Source organism: Homo sapiens, chromosome 6 (genome assembly GCF_000001405.40).
Source record: "Homo sapiens chromosome 6, GRCh38.p14 Primary Assembly".
In the NCBI taxonomy this organism is placed as follows: Eukaryota; Metazoa; Chordata; class Mammalia; order Primates; family Hominidae; genus Homo; species Homo sapiens.
The window spans coordinates 84351247-84373663 of NC_000006.12; the positions used below are offsets into that span (position 1 = coordinate 84351247).

The window sequence follows — 22417 nt, forward strand, 5'->3', positions numbered from 1 at the left end:
TGACAATCAAGCCCTTTAAAAGAGGTCATAAATTTAAAAGGAAGATTGTTTTTGTTCCAGAAGAGAGATTATTTTGAAAGCTAAAATATATGTACCACTTATGGAAAGAAACAAAGTAAATCTTTGTTGCATAAGGTACATTCTTTATTTCTCTGGTTCAAGGAATGGAGCAGGCTGCTGGAGGAAGTGGAGAAAGGTGCTCCTCTAGCTGCCTGGGTACCATGCCTTTCTTCCCATAGGGGATGGCATTGCATTGGCAGTTGCCTTGGGGTCAAGTATTTATTTATTTAAAGATATAATTTTAATTATATGAAACCCCAAATTTAAGAGTGTGTAAAATATTAACACAGCAATTAGATGTATTGTTTATCACCTTGATTTCCAAGCCCTGTCAGACTGAAATCCATTTGGGAGTCATAAAAAATCACCAGGACTGGCCATTTAAAAAAATTACCTCAAATCACAATTAGCAGCTCTTTATTTGCAGTTTTCATACATATATGGAGGTGCTGTTTGTGTTGCCATTTCAGAAATAATTCACTATGACCAACTACACTGAAAAATAAGTGCACAAGTAGAGGTTGAGGTCATTTAAAATCAAACACATTCAAAATTTGAAGATAAGTAGTGTACTTGCCATACGTGGTTAATTTTTCTCATACTTTGGTTTCTGGTGATCTTCTGAGTGAGGACTTTGAAGTTTATAATTTATTATTAAAGAAATTCTTTAGGTGATGGGAAGGGTCTCGAAAGAAATCTATAAAAGCAAAATATAACACCTGTGGAAAGGAAGGGAGGAAGGGAGAGAGGGAGCAAGGGAGAGAGGAAGGGAGGGAGGGAGAGAGAGAGAAATAAATAAAGAATACTAATAGATATGTAGATATTTATTTCTCTTCATGTTTTCAGCAAAAGACATTGGAAAAATTTTAAATTGTATTTAATTATATTAAAAATGATATTCATAAAGAGAAAAATATCAGTTCCACTGACTTAATAAATTTCTCTGCACACCTTTAACCTAACCAACCATTTTATGAACAAAAAGTCATTGGAGACTTGATTGGGGAGCTAAGAAATTAAAGAAAGAAAAAAATGTCAATAAACCCGACTTGATTATGTAAACTTGACTTATTTTTGAATATAATTAAAATATATATTTTAAATATTAATACAAAATACATGTTTTAAACTACTGTGTAGTCACTGTCAGTGATATAACAATTTTTAGTTTTTGCTTTTTAGCACTTTTTAAACACATGTGCCCAGAAAATTTCCCTTTTAATTGATGTGCCACTGAGAAGACAGCCTGGTGTAGAGAAAGGAGCAGCGGACTTGGCAACAAACAGATATGGCTCCACCCACAGCTCTACATCCAACTGCTTTTGTGAGCTTGAGTAAATTTGTTAACCCCTCTGAGTTATTTCATAAAATGGGGATGAAACCTACCTTGCAGGGTTGCTGTGAGTTTTAAGTGGGTCAAGCTCTGCTCAGCAAATATTAGTTCCCTTCCTCTTTAGTTCACTTGAAGAAACATTTATTCAGATGCTGTGTTAGGCTAAATGCCTTACGTGTAATAGTCTGGTTAATCTTCAAAACAAAACAGCAAGTCATGAGGTTGGTTCTCCAGTCATTGTTGTTCTGCACTGAGGAAACTGAAGCATAGAAACAGCTAATAGTGAGTGCCTTAAACCTGGGTCTGCTTGATTCTAAAACCTGTATCCTTAACTGTTGAATATGCTGGGGAAAGAGATGGTCATATGAGCACAGAGAAAAAAAAAAGATTAGTAGTGATATAGGGATCAAGGGGTAAGAGACCAAAAGGATTGAACATTTTTGTAACTCTAATATCTGTAAAATGAACCTGAACTTTGTTTAGATATGACAAAGAGAATAAAAAACCATATTTTAAATGCTTGGCCATAATACATGGATACAAAACAGAAAAAGTCATGCAAAAAACAGAGCGGATAGGTCCCAAATGGACAGAATGTCTGTTGGTGAATCCTGTATAAGGAGGTTATTGTGATGTTGGCATGTTGGCATTATTAAGCATTTTTCTCTAGTACATACTGTATTTGTCAGGCTAGGCTAGGTTATGGTGTGGTGCAATAACAAACAGTGCCTAAACTTCAGTGGCTTGATACAGCAAGATTTTATTTTTCATCTGTGCAAAGTCTACTGTAAGTCTGATTGCCTTCCAGGACAACTGACCTCCATGAGGTCACCCAGGAATCTAGCTATTTCCATCTCAGGGCTCTATGGCTTCAACATGAAATCTGCGCTATGATTGCTGCCATAGGGGGAGAGAATGCTAAAGAACTTTCCTGGAAAAGTAAATTTTTTTACTCCTAACCCATCAACCAGACCTAAGTACATACTCTGCCTAACTGCAAGGGGAAGAGGACTGTGTATTGTGTCACAAATCTGCACCATGTATACTTAAGACTGTTGGTAGGCTGTTTATTTTCAGACTGTAGCTTTTATGACTATTTAACTGAGATAATTTCTACAAACTAAAACTCCCCCCAATAGAAAAGTGTCACTTTTATCTCAGCCATTTCTGATTAAGACATATTAAAATACTTAAGATGATTTAAGTGGGAGTTGTTATCTGGAAGTGATTTTGAAAACTAAATAGTCGTTGCTCTTCAATCAGCGGGGATTATGTAATGTTTGCTCTGCCCTGTTTCAAGCAGTAGAATATGATCTTACAGTTACAAATCTGTATAACAAAGAAAAAAAAAACAACAAAAACAAAAGAACTGCTCTTTCATTCTGCCATAGTTTGTGGTGGGACTTGGTTTATATTAGAGACTGTTCATTTATTCTTAGGCCATTGAGCAGCAGAATGAGTGGTGAGGCAGGGTGAGGGTTATGACAGCTTCAGGGCATGCATGTTCTGAGGGTTCTTCCATAGTGAGACTGGAAAGAGCAAGTGGTCAAAGCTCTGGTTTCTACCTTTCCCCTATTTGAACAATAATGACAATTTACCTGTGGCTTATGTGGTAGCATAAGCAAATAATTCCAGCCAAAGTAAACAGCATTTCAGTAATTCAGAAAGCAAAACCATCTCATGATCATGAGAAAAGATAAAAATATAGATGCACATTGGTGAGGATTTTTAAAATAATTGCTATCCATGGTGTTCCTTCGGAGATTATTCCGTTACTTCTTGAGAAAGCAGAATTTACTTCTTGTTTATGAACATGGTGAAAATACAGGGACAGTAGAGGGTAGGAGAAACTTTCTAGTGGCTTAAATCAATTGTTTTCCTTGGCTTTGAATTTTTATTTTTAACAGGTAAAGTGTTGCATTTATTAAAAGCAGTAAAGTGGACCACAAAAAAAGGTTATTTCAAAAACTGTCAGCCAAGCACATTTATTGAGCACTCAATAGCTATGATCCAAAAATGTAAAAGTAAATAAACATAATAAAACAAATCAATTAACTGAACCAAGCAAACCACACTGGAAGCTTTTATCTTGTTCTTTCCCTCGTTGGCATCAAAGTCTGGCCACTCTTTGGAGATTTACACCTGCGGTGGTTTCATTGCCAAAATGCCTTCTTCCTAACACTTATCTCTATGAGAGGGTCCAGTAAAAAAACAGTTTTATCATCATAAAATTTGGGAGCCATAATTTCCTGATTCAGTTGCTTGGGGTAGGGCTCTGAAATTTATATTTTAAAAAGTTCTTCAAGTGATTCACATACGTACCTGTTTCCAAAACTTGAATTTAGAGTGCTCCACAGTGGTGGGATTTGGGATCCAAGAGAGACATAATTCTGGCAACACTTTATGGCAACTGTTTTACACAAAGACTACTTTTAAGCAGCGCCACTGATATAGTTTGACTATTTGTCTCTGCCCAAATCTCATGTTGAATTATAATTCCCAGTGTTGAAAGTGGGGCCTGGTGGGAAGTGTTTACATTATTGGAGTGATCCCTCATGAATGGCTTGGGTCATCACCTTGGCGATAAGTGAGCTCTCCATCTGAGTTTACACAAGATCTAGTCATCTAAAAGTGTGTGACACCTTCCCTTACCACCGCCCCCCTCTTTCTTGCTTGCTCCTGCTTTCTCCATTTGACGTGCCTGCTCCCCCTTCACCTTCTGTTATGATTGTAAGCTTCCTGAGGCCTCCCTAGAAGCCAAGCAAATGCCAACACCATGCTTCCTGTAAAGCCTACAGAGCCATGAGCCAATTAGACCTCTTTTCTTTGTAAATTACCCAGTCTCAGGTATTTCTTTGTAGCAGTGCAAAAACAGCCTAATAGACCTACAGCTGGGCAGGTTACACTTTATCTAGTGCTTCTGATTCTCACCTGCCTCACAGGATGTTTGGGTTAAAGCTCTGGCCAGCATGGATTGGTGTGCATCCTTGGATGTTTCATTTCATAGCTCTATGGTCTTTGGCAAGTTTTTAATTCTGAGCTCTGGTTGCAGTTGCCTTGTCTAATAAAGGAGCTAATTTTATCTGCTTGGTAGTATTAGAATATTTGTAAAAAAGCACTTCATTTGATGTCTGGAATATGGTAGATGTTCTGTTTCCATCTCACTCAGAGTAAAACTCAAAAGGCCCTCATAACCTGTGTCCCCACTTTCATTACCCCTGACCTCTTCTATTAGTTTCCCTGTTGCTTGCTTCACCTTGGCCTCACTTCTGTTCCTGAAACCCTCCCTGGACACCTTGGCCCAGCCCCTGCACCTGCACATGCTTCTACCTGGAATATGCTGCTCTCAGCTACCTGCAGGTTTCCTCACTCCCTTCCTGGCCTGAAACAAATCCACTCTTCTCAGTGAGGCTCTCTCTCTCACCTTCCTGGTTTAAGTTGAAGCTTCTGCTTTCACTCTCTATTCCCCTTTCCTGCACTTATTACCATATACTATACTATATATTTTATTAATTTACCTTGTTTATTCTATCACCAGAATGTAAGCTCCAGCTGGGCGGAGTTATTTGTTTGTTTTTGTAATTACTTCTTAACTTTCTAACAGCAATAACAATGCCTGGCAGACAGTAGCTGTTTGTTTAGTAAATGTTTACTAAAAGAATGATTGTGAGTGGTGGTAGGTCAGTCTGGATAGGGGAGCATCATCATTAGGTCAGAGAAATTCTGGGCCAGGAAGTTTTGGTTTCAGATTGTCCTGGATGTCAAATTTTAGTATTATTTGGGGTGAACAAAATCACCACATTGTTCCTGTGAACATCTCAGCCACCTAAAATATATTTAGAAGGGTAATGACTCCGAGTTGTTCTAGATCCCACTTCCTTCCATGTCTCTCCATCTGGAATCACCTCTCAAGGCCAAGATGATACTTGGTCTGCATTTAGGGAAAGGACAACTGGGCAAAGTTTGAAACTGCCAGCTCAGAGATATCTTAGGACATCTGTTTGATGACACCTGATGATCAATGAATGATATTTGATTAATAATCTTGATTCACACTTCTCACCAATAAAATTTCTGTTGTTTTTCCTGAGATTCACCCTGGTGAACTTTTCAAGCTTCCTTGGACCCGTGAAGAGAAAAAATTCTCATGTCTCCTCTCATGCCTTCTCTGTGCTGCTGGAAAAGGCTCAGCTTCCTTAGCCTTTATTGTGTCCAGAGAAAGGATCTCCCTCCCTTCCTCTATGGATAGGGATAATCAGATTGGGAGCTACCACTATCTTCTCATTTTCCCACTAAAAATAGTTTTTCCCCCAAAATGTAGTTAAAAGAAACCTGGAAATTATCATTTATGACAGAAATGTCAGTTTGTTGAAAAAATGTCGGTTTTACCAGATGCTTCTGGTCTTGGCTGCCTCATCCAGTTGCTCTCTCAACAGCTGCAAGCCCTTTGTCGGACCCCACACCTCCTCCCACGTGCTGTCTCTATCAGTTGGAGCCGAATTGGTGCCCGCTGCAGGCACTAAACTTCAGGCAAATAAAATAGCAGGGGTGAATCATGAACAAGACCAGTAAAAATAACCTTCCTCTGTGCCTCTAAATTACCTATTAAAATTACACTCCTGACTGCTCTTAGAAAGCTGAGTCAATGATTTGGAGGATAATTTTTCAGTTGGGGAATCCAAGGATATTGCTGAAAAAGGAAAAGAACTCATATTTATGAAAGGTGTATTGCTACAGATTTTGCCACGCAAAATTAGATTATATTTTACCGAATTCTCACACACACTGTGACGATGATACCCTTGTCTTACAGATGAAGAAACTAAGGCTCAGATAAATCAACTAAGTTACCCAAAGTCACATGTCTAATAAGTGGAAGATTTTAGGTTGGATTGATTAGGAAGTCTGTTCCTTTGCTGGCATATCGTGCTGTTCTGCACTTGCCTGGCACAAATCCTGAGGGACATAACAAGTACTCTTGCCCTTGCCCTGATCCCCCATTCTTTTGAGTATTTCAAATCATCCTAAATTTGTAATATCTCAATAAATGCTGCCATGGAAAGTTGCCATGATGGAATTTTGTGTACCTACAAGAGACTCTGACATTTGCAGACACTGTATGTTGAGAATGTTCGAATCCTCAAATTCAGAGGGCATTGTGGTATAAACTTCTCCACAATTGCCTCAAAGCTGTACTGCAATGGGCTGGCTAGGTGGTGAGTAAGGCTCAGTCACTGGTTATGCGATAGGCTTCTGCAAGCTAGCCAAAAAGATTAAAATCCAAGCCTTAGAATAATTGCAAATTATTACATTGTGAAGATTGAGAGTTGATAGTGAATAAAATGTTAAATCTAACAGTCTATGGCACTACATCAAAACTTGACTAGGACTTCTCTTTAAAACCAGTCTTAGAGTTAATATAGGATTACGGTTAAAAGCAAGGACTTTGGAGACTGACTTCCCAGGCTTAAATCCTTGGTTTTGCCACTCACTAGCTGTATTTTCCCTCCTCTTTGCCTCAGTTTTTTTAACTTCAAAATAGTGATGATGCAACCTGCATCATCGTGTTGTATTAGCATTGCATGAAATTGTGGTTGTCAAATGCTCAGAACAGTGGCACTTAGTAGGATTTTGTGTTAGCTATTTTTATTATGTATAACAATGCAAATTTTATTAACAAAGTTCATTTGTTTATGGTTCCATTGAATTTTGCCCAACATTCTACCCTTCAATTTACTTACTCTGGTCACCAGAATTGGGGCTGTACAACTTCATTCATTTAAAAATTTCAGATTTATCCTCAAAAGAAGAGGTTTTCTTTTACATTTATTTATTTAAAAATTTCTATTTTTATTTTAGATATAAGGGGTACATGTGCAGGTTTGTTAACATGGGAATACTGTACAATACCATGGTTTAGGGTATGGATCCCATCACCTATGTAGTGAACATAGTACCCAATAGGTAGTTTTTCAAACCATGCTCCCCTCCCTCCTTCCCCGTTTGATTAGTCTGCAGTGTCTATTGTTCCTATGTTTATGTCCATGTGTGCCCAATGTTTGGCTCCCACTTATAAAGACAGTTCTGTCACCCAGGCTGGAATGCAGTGGCATAATGATAGCTCACTGCCTGAATTCCAGGGCTCAAGGGATCCTCCCAACTCAACCTCCCAAGTAGCTAGCTGTGAGTCATTGCGTCCGGCCAAGAAAAGGTGTTTCCATCTCCAAAGAAAGACCTTGCTTCAGTTTCTGACAGCAACAATTAGATGAGTGTAGTGTCTTCAACATCATTGTTTTTAAAGGGACAACATTCAATTTGCATGTATAAATTCTTCAATGTTGATTAAAAATTAATTCTATTACTTTATAGTTATACCTCATAGAGGATGATCTCTTTAGCTTATTTCCTAAGATTTCCAACTCCATTTGTGATTTCATGAACATATTGAGATCTGTCCAATATACCGTACATTGCTCGAATTAAACACAAACTCCAAAGCATCTCATCTGTAATTGCTATCAAAGAATCAAGGAGTTGAATCTAGTCTTACACTTGATACCAGCTGATGGAGATCAATAATTTTTGACGAATTACCCTTTTCTAAGTGGCTTAGACTCAACAGGATTTAAAGTTCTGAGAAACTATTTTAACTTTCTTCAACCTTAGTTTACTTTAGCAAAGAAGTAAAATAATTAGGCAGAGACAAGATGGTAACTTTTTTTTAATATGGAAGTATGTCTCGGTTTTATGTTTTCATAGCAATTTTATTAATAACTAAAGTTTCATAAAATGTTATGAAAAAGTTTGCAACTCTATAGAATATTTAATAATAGTTCTTTCCTCATATAGACAAATGGTTGGGTTATAATGTCAGATATTTTTGCAGTTAAAAGTTATTCACTGGCATGACTGATTTTGCTTATTCCACAGAGCTCTTTCCTCTGAAAAAGGAAAGCTAGAGAAATGTTGATATGACAAATTGCTGCTAAGTTTTGGGTCATTGGTTATGCTACTAAAAACTGCAAAGAACTTCGCTTTTGCCATCTTCTGGTTTTCTGTTTTGATTCCCTTCTCTATATCTTGGCAACTCCTCTTTAGTTCCTTTTATTATAACCCTCCTTTCTCTCTCTTCTTGTCTTTAATGAGATCTACTGGTCTCTTCCATTTCCTAGTAGGTAGGAGATTTAGTGCTCCTGATGTTCTCCCCAGCACCTAAAACAGTGACCCCCAAAACTCATGGATGTGCAAATAATTATTTCTTAAATTATTTCTCAATATATTGTTCATAGCCAATATAAGTTAAGGGCGTTAGCTTGTAAGGATGATAGTGGGAAAGTGGGGATAGTTCACAAACTGTTGTTAGGATTGTTTTCTTTTGAACTGTGAACTATTAGAGATAAAATACCTAATAAGGAGGAATGAATTCTGTTAGTAGACCCTAAGACCTAGTGGTGGACTAGTGAGGAGAAACCATGGAGGTCCAGATGGAGAAGTCCTTTTCTGAATTCCATACGTATGTGATGTAACACACACACACACAAACACACACACACACAAACACACATGCACACATGCACACACACACATGCACACACACATGCACACACACGCACACACACACGGAGAGAGAGAGACAGAGTGAGAGTGAGAGAGAGAGAGAGAAAGAGGATGTATAATCGCATCCTTTGCTAACAAATAAAACGATTTTCATTGCTTGGATTTTAAGAAAGCTTATGTACTTCTGAGAGCCAGATTTTGTTTGCTTGAACAAATCAGTGAGTCCAAAAATTGGCTTCCTACGTAGTTTAGATAATAAAAAAATATTGAAATAACATTATTTTTGTGTGGAAGCTACAGAATTTGAGACTCCATGAAGAGAACTAGTATAGGCTTTCTATTTGTTTTATTTTGTTTTCAGACAACTAAAACTATGAAAAATATTAATTCTATAGATTTTTTCTTAATGTCATTTTACATGAGGAATATGACTGTACCTTTCAGATATTGTAGAAAGGCAATGCAAATGTTTTCTAACACTGGGATAAAATCTGGTTGTTAAATAAAGTGTACATCTTTTAGCCTGAACGGTAAGAAAGATCAGTTCCAGAAGAAATAAAAACTTATTTTGCAATGGTATTTTAGCCTTTAAGTACACAGAAGGTTTTCCAAAAATGGAAGAGAATGATTCCATTCTGCTTCCCTTTAAATAATGAAACTACAAAATAGTGTCCACATCATGGTGTATAATATCCTTCCATTAGAGCCTTATTTTCTTGTCAATATTTTTACTTCAAGCCTAATCTTTTGATGTGATGGAGACTTCAAATTAAATCACAGACAGTGGTTTTCATTTTCTTCCTTTAACATGACATTATTTCCAGCTCTAAAGTGATTGCGAAGAAAATACTTAACTCCCTAAATTGGCTGTTTAAAGCGCCACAGTAGATTTGACTCTCAAATCGCATCCGTGGTTAAAGTTCACCTTGCAACGCATTTGAAATAGGTGCTTTGTGTTGAAAAACAAAACCTGTAAAACTTTTGGGGTTTCAAGTTTTCTGACTCCAAGTTAGTCATTTTCCTTTAATACTAGAAGAATTAAAGATATTAAAAATCAGCTGTTAGTGCATGTAATTGTGGCCTCTCATTTTTCCTTTTTCTGGAAATGAAAGGAATGCTGAAAGTGTTCCTGTTTTATAATGTAGGAGGTGGCCAAGCATTTACAACTCTATATACTCCTCCAGTCGAATTCTTCTAAACCTCAGACCTGGCCAGCAGGTTTCTCCCAGACGATTTTCATTTTCATAACATTCACATCCAATAAGCTGCACAAAACATAGTGTGAGAGAAAAAGGGGGACAGGAAATGGCTCTGTTGCATGGTTATTACATCCTATTGCCTGTGGGTTGCTTGTTATGAGTTTTAACTATGTAAATATGACGTATATGACATCAGAATTTAATCTTAAAGCTTCTATGTGGGAGATAGAGTGTGACTTTATTGTTAGGGTTAAAATCAACTGGGTGTTGACAGGTCTCAAAAGTCACTGAGTAAAAGCTTAAAAAGAAAAAGCTCAGACTGATAAGCTGTTCTTTGATTGACAACTTCAGGCCTGACTGCCACTATTGAAAACAGTTGGGTGAAAGTTTGGTTGGGGGGAAAAAGTGTTATTTCATAAGAAACTATACTGGGAAATATAGGGTGATTTATAAGCTGATATAGCACAAAACCCAAAGAAAAACAGGTGTAAGGTTTAGAAAATCTGGAAACTGGGAGGAAGACACTGTCTATGAATGATTTAATTAATATTGTAAAAGGACTTTACCAAAAAGAATGCTGACTCAACCAGAAAAATACATTTCTGTCCACTAGCTTTGGGTTTCAGCAAATCATTTGTCAACAGCTTGTGGTGAAACAATCTAGTAGGGGGTGGGAGGAAAGAATAAAATGCACAAGCAAAATATTCCAATGGAAAATACATGTAGTTCTTTTTTTCATCTTTCTAGTAGAGTAGAACCAATTGGCACTGTAAAATTCATTATGGAAACAATAAAATAAATGCATTCTAAAGTAGCCATCATTGGTTGATTGAAATGTTATGATTGTTATACATGCCATATCTTATCAAATATTATCCATAAGGAAGTATTCAGTTCCTGTTGTGCCAATTATCCTACTATGTGCATCATAAACTTTTATGGCTTGTTATGGAATGTCACTTGGCTAACTATTTTTCCCTTCAAATATTGCATCATCAGATTCAGATGGAAAACATATTCTAATGTGACAAAGTGTTAAAGAAATTTAATACTCTAGGGCTAAATGAAACTGCTATGGTTCATCTCCTGGATAAGAACAACAATTTATGAATGCAGTATTCATTTCCTGAGGTGAACACAAGCAAAAACCTTGTCTGAAACTTAAAACCTAGATGTTTGGCCTCTGGTAGTTTCCTCATTTAACTCATTGATGTCGTATATTAAGGCCATTGGTAAGATTACATCTGGGGAGTGCTCACTTTTTCAGCTTCCCTAATTACTTTTACAGGGGACTCCTGGCATAATTGCATCAGCCAGGACCAGGCCACAGAGTTTATGAGATCAATCTTTCACTTTTAATATATTGCTAAAATGTCAAAATAATTGATTTGTTTTCTCTTGATTGTGAAAACTGATGAAGAGTTTGGCATTTTAATTCACAGAGGCATCCATTCAGATCTAGGTTCTAGAATAGTGCATACATTCTATGGAGAAATCATGAAATTATAAACTTAACATGTTATGTCTTTAAGACCAGAGAACCCAGAGAAGATTCCACAGTCATTTGTATTTGTAGAAAAAGACAAATAACAATTGCCAAGAATCGTCATTTTTCTCCTTCCAAAAACTAAACATCTGCATTATAAATTTTAGTATATTAAACATAATAAAGTAAACTTACAGGAAAATTTATTTGAGTCTTACCTGTTATTATCAGGGAGAAGTAGAGGACACATCTAGACAGCAATATTTTGAGCTTTAAATGCAAACTTCTTTCATTGACAAGAAACCACTTTTATTTAAATATTCTAGAATTCACAGAAATTCTAGGTGACAGGGTAAAATGTTCAGATAAATATATGAGAAGTTGATTATTTGTCCATCTGAGATTTCTACAGAATCAGGAGCAAATTTTGCTCAAAGTACTATTTTGCATCATTGTCGGCCATCGCGGGCACCTATAACTGGGGAAAAATGAGACAACAACAGAGAGAAACACATTGCAAGTTTTCATACAAAAAGCCTCTTTGCCTTTCATAAACTCACCTCTTCTGACCACTAAACTAAACCACGTACAGAGTTGAAAGATGCTTTGACACTGTTAAGATCCAGCATTTAGAGACTTCAGCTTTTGTGGAAAAAGTGCTCATTGTAAGATAATCAACTGATTTGAGAGGCATAAGAACAGTAATAATAATAATAATAATAATAAGAAACCATTTTAGGTGATGACTGGAGGAAAAAAAAACCCAGCAAGGTGTGGGGCAGGCTCTATGCATAAAATTAGAACTCAAACCTGTCATATGCTTTCAGTAAGTGAGGGCCATGTGGAGGCAACTTGGAGGGAGAAGAATAAAACACAAAGAGAAAAGAAGAAAGAAGCCTAGACCCTTCTGGAAGCAGCTGCATCTACCATTCTTGGCATGCAGTGTTCTTTAGTTATTCTGTCTTCTGACACTGCAATGCTCTGCTTGAAATTCCTTGCAATTCCTCACAGGTCTTTTTGAATTCACCTTTAAAAAATTCTCAATTTTTTTTCATTGGTCGGACCCTCAAAGGAGAAAAACGCAACTTTCTCTATCAGACAGTCATGGCATATTGTTTTGGCTTAGCTAGAATTTGCTAGAATGAACCCATTATTACGCTTCCTCTGAGTGCTGACAATGTCATCATCTCTGCATTCTGCAAGTAAATTTGAACTGTGAGTCAAGAATGCCTATTCCAGGGAGATGCTAGGCATACATAACTGCCTTCTCACCTGCTATCCTCTACCTCAGAGAAGAGAGGTAGAGCAGGCAGAAAGGAGGGTATGGATAAAGAATTGGGTCCTTACTAATGACTCACATATTGCAACAGGTATTACATTCTTGAATTATCTCACTCCATCCACATCACAATTCTACACTGTAGGTAGGCAGATATGCTTACCTTTTTTTAACAGACAAAGAAACAGATTGAAGAGCTCACATAGCTTATAAGAGCTCAGTTTGACTCCAAGTTTGTGCTTCTTTCACTACTTTCTGCCATAAACTCCTTTACTATATTTCTTTTCAAATATTTTAAAGACATTGTCTTTGAAATGCTGAATGGACAATGAATGAAGGTATGTTTTTAAGTGTTTTGTGAATTTTAATTTTTTATGCCCAAGTAGACTTATTTTATTTTATCTTTTTTTTTTTAATTATACTTTAAGTTTTAGGGTACATGTGCACAATGTGCAGGTTAGTTACATATGTATACATGTGACATGCTGGTGCGCTGCACCCACTAACTCGTCATCTAGCATTACGTATATCTCCTAATGCTATCCCTCCCCCCTCCCCCCACCCCACAACAGTCCCCAGAGTGTGATGTTCCCCTTCCTGTGTCCATGTGTTCTCATTGTTCAAGTCCCACCTATGAGTGAGAATATGCGGTGTTTGGTTTTTTGTTCTTGTGATAGTTTACTGAGAATGATGATTTCCAATTTCATCCATGTCCCTACAAAGGACATGAACTCATCATTTTTTATGGCTGCATGGTATTCCATGGTGTATATGGGCCACATTTTCTTTATCCAGTCTATCATTGTTGGACATTTGGGTTGGTTCCAAGTCTTTGCTATTGTGAATAATGCCGCAATAAACATACGTGTGCATGTGTCTTTATAGCAGCATGATTTATAGTCCTTTGGGTATATACCCAGTAATGGGATGGCTGGGTCAAATGGTATTTCTAGTTCTAGATCCCTGAGGAATCACCACACTGACTTCCACAATGGTTGAACTAGTTTACAGTCCCACCAACAGTGTAAAAGTGTTCCTATTTCTCCACATCCTCTCCAGCACCTGTTGTTTCCTGACTTTTTAATGATTGCCATTCTAACTGGTGTGAGATGGTATCTCATTGTGGTTTTGATTTGCATTTCTCTGATGGCCAGTGATGGTGAGCATTTTTTCATGTGTTTTTTGGCTGCATAAATGTCTTCTTCTGAGAAGTGTCTGTTCATGTCCTTCATCCACTTTGATGGGGTTGTTTTTTTCTTGTAAATTTGTTTGAGTTCATTGTAGATTCTGGATATTAGCCCTTTGTCAGATGAGTAGGTTGCGAAAATTTTCTCCCATTTTGTGGGTTGCCTGTTCACTCTGATGGTAGTTTCTTTTGCTGTGCAGAAGCTCTTTAGTTTAATTAGATCCCATTTGTCAATTTTGGCTTTTGTTGCCATTGCTTTTGGTGTTTTAGACATGAAGTCCTTCCCCGTGCCTATGTCCTGAATGGTACTGCCTAGCTTTTCTTCTAGGGTTTTTATGGCTTTAGGTCTAACGTTTAAGTCTTTAATCCATCTTGAATTGATTTTTGTATAAGGTGTAAGGAAGGGATCCAGTTTCAGCTTTCTACATATGGCTAGCCAGTTTTCCCAGCACCATTGATTAAATAGGGAATCCTTTCCCCATTGCTTGTTTTTCTCAGGTTTGTCAAATATCAGATAGTTGTAGATATGCAGCGTTATTTCTGAGGGCTCTGTTCTGTTCCATTGATCTATATCTCTGTTTTGGTTACTGTAGCCCTGTAGTATAGTTTGAAGTCAGGTAGCATGATGCCTCCAGCTTTGTTCTTTTGGCTTAGGATTGACTTGGTGATGTGGGCTCTTTTTTGGTTCCATATGAACTTTAAAGTAGTTCTTTCCAATTCTGTGAAGAAAGTCATTGGTAGCTTGATGGGGATGGCATTGAATCTATAAATTACCTTGGGCAGTATGGCCATTTTCACGATATTGATTTTTCCTACCCACGAGCATGAAATGTTCTTCCATTTGTTTGTATCCTCTTTTATTTCGTTGAGCAGTGGTTTGTAGTTCTCCTTGAAGAGGTCCTTCACATCCCTTGTAAGGTGGATTCCTAGGTATTTTATTCTCTTTGCAGCAATTGTGAATGAGTTCACTCATGATTTGGCTCTCTGTTTGTCTGTTATTGGTGTATAAGAATGCTTGTGACTTTTGCACATTGATTTTGTATCCTGAGACTTTGCTGAAGTTGCTTATCAGCTTAAGGAGATTTTGGGCTGAGACAATGGGGTTTTCTAGATATACAATCATGTCGTCTGCAAACAGGGACAATTTGACTTCCTCTTTTCCTAATTGAATACCCTTTATTTCCTTCTCCTGCCTAATTGCCCTGGCCAGAACTTCCAACACTATGTTGAATAGGAGTGGTGAGAGAGGGCATCCCTGTCTTGTGCCAGTTTTCAAAGGGAATGCTTCCAGTTTTTGCCCATTCAGTATGATATTGGCTGTAGGTTTGTCATAGATAGCTCTTATTATTTTGAGATATGTCCCATCAATACCTAATTTATTGAGAGTTTTTAGCATGAAGGGTTGTTGAATTTTGTCAAAGGCCTTTTCTGCATCTATTAAGATAATCATGTGGTTTTTGTCTTTGGTTCTGTTTATATGCTGGATTACATTTATTGATTTGCGAATATTGAACCAGCCTTGCATCCCAGGGATGAAGCCCACTTGATCATGGTGGATAAGCTTTTTGATGTGCTGCTGGATTCGATTTGCCAGTATTTTATTGAGGATTTTTGCATCAATGCCCATCAAGGATATTGGTCTAAAGTTCTCTTTTTTGATTGTGTCTCTGCCCGGCTTTGGTGTCAGGATGATGCTGGCCTCATAAAATGAGTTAGGGAGGATTCCCTCTTGTTCTACTGATTGGAATAGTTTCAGAAGGAATGGTACCAGTTCCTCCTTGTACCTCTGGTGGAATTCGGCTGTGAATCCATCTGGTCCTGGACTCTTTTTGGTTGGTAAGCTATTGATTATTGCCACAATTTCAGCTCCCGTTATTGGTCTATTCAGAGATTCAACTTCTTCCTGGTTTAGTCTTGGGAGGGTGTATGTGTCGAGGAATTTATCCATTTCTTCTAGATTTTCTAGTTTATTTGCGTAGAGGTGTTTGTAGTATTCTCTGATGGTAGTTTGTATTTCTGTGGGATCGGTGGTGATATCTCCTTTATCATTTTTTATAGTGTCTATTTGATTCTTCTCTCTTTTTTTCTTTATTAGTCTTGCTAGCGGTCTATCAATTTTGTTGATCCTTTCAAAAAACCAGCTCCTGGATTCATTAATTTTTTGAAGGGTTTTTTGTGTCTCTATTTCCTTCAGTTCTGCTCTGATTTTAGTTATTTCTTGCCTTCTGCTAGCTTTTGAATGTGTTTGCTCTTGCTTTTCTAGTTCTTTTAATTGTGATGTTAGGGTGTCAATTTTGGATCTTTCCTGCTTTCTCTTGTGGGCATTTAGTGCTATAAATTTCCCTCTACACACTGCTTTGAATGTGTCCCAGAGATTCTGGTATGTTGTGTCTTTGTTCTCATTGATTTCAAAGAACATCTTTATTTCTGCCTTCATTTCGTTATGTACCCAGTAGTCATTCAAGAGCAGGTTGTTCAGTTTCCACGTAGTTGAGTGGTTTTGAGTGAGTTTCTTAATCCTGAGTTCTAGTTTGATTGCACTGTGGTCTGAGAGATAGTTTGTTATAATTTCTGTTCTTGTACATTTGCTGAGGAGTGCTTTACTTCCAAGTGTGTGGTCAATTTTGGAATAGGTGTGGTGTGGTGCTGAAAAAAATGTATATTCTGTTGATTTGGGGTGGAGAGTTCTGTAGATGTCTATTAGGTCCACTTGGTGCAGAGCTGAGTTCAATTCCTGGGTATCCTTGTTGACTTTCTGTCTTGTTGATCTGTCTAATGTTGACAGTGGGGTGTTAAAGTCTCCCATTATTAATGTGTGGGAGTCTAAGTCTCTTTATAGGTCACTCAGGACTTGTTTTATGAATCTGGGTGCTCCTGTATTGGGTGCATATATATTTAGGATAGTTAGCTCTTCTTGTTGAATTGATCCCTTTACCATTATGTAATGGCCTTCTTTGTCTCTTTTGATCTTTGTTGGTTTAAAGTCTGTTTTATCAGAGACTAGGATTGCAACCCCTGCCTTTTTTTGTTTCCATTTGCTTGGTAGATCTTCCTCCATCCTTTTATTTTGAGTCTATGTGTGTCTCTGCATGTGAGATGGGTTTCCTGAATACGACACACTGATGGGTCTTGACTCTTTATCCAATTTGCCAGTCGGTGTCTTTTAATTGGAGCATTTAGTCCGTATACATTTAAAGTTAATATTGTAATGTGTGAATTTGAACCTGTCATTATCATGTTAGCCGGTTATTTTGCTCGTTAGTTGATGCAGTTTCTTCCTAGTCTCGATGGTCTTTACATTTTGGCATGATTTTGCTGCGGCTGGTACCAGTTGTTCCTTTCCATGTTTAGTGCTTTCCTTCAGGAGCTCTTTTAGGGCAGGCCTGGTGGTGACAAAATCTCTCAGCATTTGCTTGTCTGTAAAGTATTTTATTTCTTCTTCACTTATGAAGCTTAGTTTGGCTGGATATGAAATTGTGGGTTGAAAATTCTTTTCTTTAAGAATGTTGAATATTGGCCCCCACTCTCTTCTGGCTTGTAGAGTTTCTGCCGAGAGATCCGCTGTTAGTCTGATGGGCTTCTCTTTGAGGGTAACCCGACCTTTCTCTCTGGCTGCCCTTAACATTTTTTCCTTCATTTCAACTTTGGTGAATCTGACAATTATGTGTCTTGGAGTTGCTCTTCTCGAGAAGTATCTTTGTGGCATTCTCTGTGTTTCCTGAATCTGAATGTTGGCCTGCCTTGCTAGATTGGGGAAGTTCTCCTGGATAATATCCTGCAGAGTGTTTTCCAACTTGGTTCCATTCTCCCCGTCACTTTCAGGTACCCCAGTCAGACATAAATTTGGACTTTTCACATAGTCCCATATTTCTTGGAGGCTTTGTTCGTTTCTTTTTATTCTTTTTTCTCTAAACTTCCCTTCTCACTTTATTTCATTCATTTCGTCTTCCATCGCTGATACCCTTTCTTCCAGTTGATTGCATCGGCTCCTGAGGCTTCTGCATTCTTCACGTAGTTCTCGAGCTTTGGCTTTCAGCTCCATCAGCTCCTTTAAGCGCTTCTCTCTATTGGTTATTCTAGTTATACATTCGTCTAAATTTTTTTCAAAGTTTTTAACTTCTTTGCCTTTGGTTTGAATTTCTTCCTGTAGCTCATAGTTTGATCTTCTGAAGCCTTCTTCTCTCAACTCGTCAAAGTCATTATCCATCCAGGTTTGTTCCATTGCTGGTGAGGAACTGCGATCCTCAGATGGAAATGCAGAAATCACCCGTCTTCTGCGTCGCTCACGCTGGGAGCTGTAGACCGGAGCTGTTCCTATTCGGCCATCTTGGCTCCTCCCCCTTATTTTATTTTATTTTATTTTATTTTATTTTATTTTATTTTATTTTATTTTATTTTATTTGAGACAAGGTCTTGTTCTGTCACCCAGGCTGGAGTGCAAAGACTCAATCTCAGCTTGCTGCAGCCTCAACCTCCCAGGCTGAAGCGATCCTCCCACCTTAACCTCCCAAATAGCTGGGACTACAGGCATGCACCACCATGCCTGGCTAATTTTTGTTTCCTTTTTGTAGAGACAAGTTCTCACTATTTTGCCCAGGCTGGTCTTCAACTTCCAGGCTCAAGTGATCTTCCTGCCTTGGCCTCCCAAAATGCTGGGATTACAGGTATGAGCCACCATGACTGGCCTAGGTATTTTAAAAGTAAAAAAAAAAAGCTCCTTTTCTAGCAGGTGATCAGGCAGACACCTCTTCTATTGAAATACTACACAAGGAGCTGCCAGTGTATTTTAAAGCAGGATCAAATGAAAAGATTCAGATAAGCAAAGGCCTGTGGGGGAAGTAAGGCAGGGAGTAATATAAATCTCACGTGCAGTTAGAACAGTGGATTCTCAGTGGGTTGGAGCAGAAATTCCAATCATTAGAAGTTTTTCCGGGTTTACAGATCCAATCATGTGTCAAGGACATGGATCACAATATGGCTGAGGTGGTAGGCACCCATCTGGGTGAAATCCCAGGCTATTTTCTTAGTTGTATTCAAGGGTCTTATGGCCATAGTCTCTTCTACACTCTTGAGTGAAGGGTCATTCTTGTCTTCCAGGAACAGTTGGCCTTTTTGGATGAAGGTGTGATTACTGGAAAGGAGTACTGCCAGGTGATAAAGTAAGAAGACAAAGATGCAGACAATCAAAAGCAGCCACATCAGTCTGGTGATGGGCAAGGGAACACGTGTCAAAGCCAGCTGACCTTTACATACATCACGGCTAACTAGAAAACCATTTGGTGACTTGCTAGTTCCTCGAACTTCTGGGAAAGAGAATGGTGTTATAGGTGAGAGAATGGGGTGAAATCAGGGAGGTGTAAAATAACAGGATTTATTGGAAGGATAAGATTTTCAATGCAGTTGAAATAGAGGATTAAGGTGGGGGGGAATGTGGCAACAGAATTTTTGTCATCACAATAAACCAAAGGCATAATAAAGTACCTAAGAGATGTTTTGCTCAAAATTGTCCAAAATGGCACAGCCAGAGCTCTCTCTTCTAGGAGTCTATCAAGAAAATGTGTACTGATACAGAACATAGTCATAGCTGTGTGGAGGAGACATAGCTAAAATGCACAGAGAGCTTTACATGTACCATCAGATTTAATCTCCATACAACCTGTTGTGTTGTATCTACTATTATTTTCCCTACTTGATTTATGTGGAAACTAAAGCTTGGAAAGGGCAGGTAACTTCCCAGGGTAAAAGCTAACCCAGAATTAGGGCCCAGGTCTTTTGAACTTCAGGGCCTATGGTGATGACCAATAGGCGGTGCTGCTCCTCACTACACTATTCTGTGAGTATTGTATCTGTGCCTCACTTCTATACGCTAAACTGTAGCTATCAAAGGCTATTGGATTTTTTAAAAATTCAGACATTCATAGATTTAAAAAAATCTTTCCATCATTATTAACTAAGAGTTGACCATATGCTTAGTACTGGGGTAGGTTGTTTGCTTTAATTAAAGATGCAGGCATTAATCAAACATTTCCATATGAGTGTGTTGGCTAAGTTTGGTATTCTAGTGTGAAATGCAAAGTCTGTGATATTTAAACATAATTACAGAATCAAAATTGTGTGTATTCAGATGAAATTTTTCCATTGGTATTAATACATTGGATACAAGTGTAATTTTGTTACATTGATGTCTATAGTGGTGAAGTCAGGGCTTTTAGTGTATCCATCACTAGAGTAACTACATTGTACCCATGTGTGTATTATCATTGTCCTATTTTCAAAGCAGAGCAATTGCTTTTCAGAATTAAGTTTACACAGACAAGGATTTTTCCAAATTGATAATTAAATGTCCTTGCTGTAGTCAGGGTCCTAACTTCAGTCATGGGGTAGCTACTGAAATTATATATTTTTGGATGTGTGTTTGTGTGTGTGTGGGCATGTGTGTGTGTGTGTGCACGCGCATATGATGGAGGGGGTGTCACATAATTGAGAATATTGAATAGACTGGCTCAGATGGGGAAGTAGAATGAAACACCAAATCAAAGGCAAGACATCAACTGTGTGCAGTGTTGCATAAATCAAAGGGGCGCCAGATGATATGGATGTGGTTTCAGTTGTGAAAATGAAAAAGAAAGGATATATTTAGAAGAAAATTGACTGCTTAGTAGAGATTTAAAAAAACGTAAGTTTAAGGATGTGTGCTTTAAATAGGAAGATAATTATAAAATTAAGTATTCAATGAAACTATTACAATAGGGTTTTTTTCCCAATGCCTGTTGAATTTCATAGGACTTACCAAAAATTGAATACAAGTTTTTTCTTGATTTATCATATGTATAACCTATCAAAATGGTTCAACAATTTCTCTAAGTCTTGCAACAAATTAAACAACAAATTGAACTTGCAACAAACTAAACTTTAAGCTTCAGCAAAGACTAATATATTTACATGTAGAATCCTTATACTGCCTTAATGTTTATTCTTTTATCTTAAGGTCCCTGCCTGGAGAAAATTCATTTTCCTTTCTGTTTGATTGAAAGATGGTAACAACCTCCCTCCCATATTTACAATAAGATCAAAATGGCATTTTATTTGCCCATCTGGAGATCACCAAATGCGTAAAGCTTGTCCGTGTGGAGGCCATCTGTTGGGAATGGAGACACACATGGAAACTTACTCCTTGAACTTCTTTTTTAACTTTCTCTTTTGCTTGCCTGAGTAGAAGGCAATTCAGACCTGTCACTTGTGATACAAACTGTAGGCCAGGACACACTGCTGCCTTTTAATGTCACAAACCCTTTCATTTGCCCAACTGTGAATACCTCTCTGAGAAGATCTAAAGGGTGAAAAAATTTTGGCACCATCTTTCATGACACAAATTGAAGGTTAGAGTCAGAGCTTTCCCTAATGGGCTATTGCTTGGGTTGTGCTTAGAACAAGGGAAGAGTCTTGGGGAATCATAACCATACTTTTTCTTTGAAAGTATCCATGGTCTCTCTAAGTAATTCTGAATGTTGGGGAATATGGAGAAAAACACTTTCTGACTCAATTTTTTTTCTACTTTATGTCCTCACATGTTTCTATTTCAAGTTGAAGAAAATAATTTGGTTTAAAAATCATTTCAAAATGATGTTACTTGTGGTGTAGGACAAATAAATCACCAGGGCCTCGACTTCTCAGAGACACTTTGGATGTGGATAGAATTTTGCAGACTTGCACTGTTTTTATCTTACTTAGATTATATGCAGGTACAATTTCATGTCTGTAACTACCACCAGTCAGTATGTTAACTGGACTGGCTCGATGCTAAAACCCAGCACACAGCTGTGAGCAAGGAGGCCACACAGTCCTTGTCTACAAGCTTGCTGCATCAGACTGTTTTATGAACCTTCGACACTTTTAGCACCTGACTGGTTTGCCATTAAAGTCAACAAAATTGCTTCTTAAACAATAATTTTAAGATCTCAGCTTTGCACTCTACATTGCCTTGTTCTTTTAATTTTCCTCACATTCCTTTTCAACATTTCTGTATGTAGTTCTGCTTTCTCTTATACTCTTTGCTCAAATGCTAGTTATCTCTCCCATTCGTGATTAGAACTTATTTCTTGAAGTCATCTTAACCTTTATTTAAACCAGCCTCTAAAAATTCTCAACACTGCTACCAAAGTCATCTTTTCTTTCTGGCTTTTTCGCTCCCTTAAATGTATTTGTGTAGTGTTCTAAAAAAAATTCAGTGGTAATGGCAATAGCAATTTATTCCTTACTATTTTTAAAGAAAGTTGTGCTTTTGGTAATAGCGAAAAATAGAAAACAACTTAAATCT

General features: G+C 37.7%; 3 long non-coding RNA genes across 4 annotated transcripts in view; 2 read left to right on the forward strand and 1 right to left on the reverse strand.

Annotated features, from left to right (window-relative positions):
* Positions 1–686: 686 nt before the first annotated feature.
* On the reverse strand, positions 687–11880 carry LOC107986621 (uncharacterized). The gene is made up of 3 exons (XR_001744237.1): positions 11854–11880; positions 1447–1587; positions 687–779 (listed from the first exon to the last, which is right to left on the reverse strand). It is a non-coding gene; the product is annotated as an uncharacterized LOC107986621 (long non-coding RNA).
* LOC107986620 (uncharacterized) overlaps positions 1546–22417 on the forward strand; it is a 175866-nt gene continuing 154994 nt past the window's right edge. The window contains exon 1 of one of the 2 annotated variants that reach the window (XR_001744235.2): positions 1546–1675. This is a non-coding gene — a long non-coding RNA (uncharacterized LOC107986620). The remainder of the gene's footprint in view (positions 1676–22417) is intronic. The other variant, XR_001744236.1, reaches the window with a different exon arrangement.
* On the forward strand, positions 18726–21608 carry LOC107986619 (uncharacterized). Its single transcript, XR_001744234.1, has 3 exons — positions 18726–18764; positions 19198–19427; positions 21089–21608. It is a non-coding gene; the product is annotated as an uncharacterized LOC107986619 (long non-coding RNA).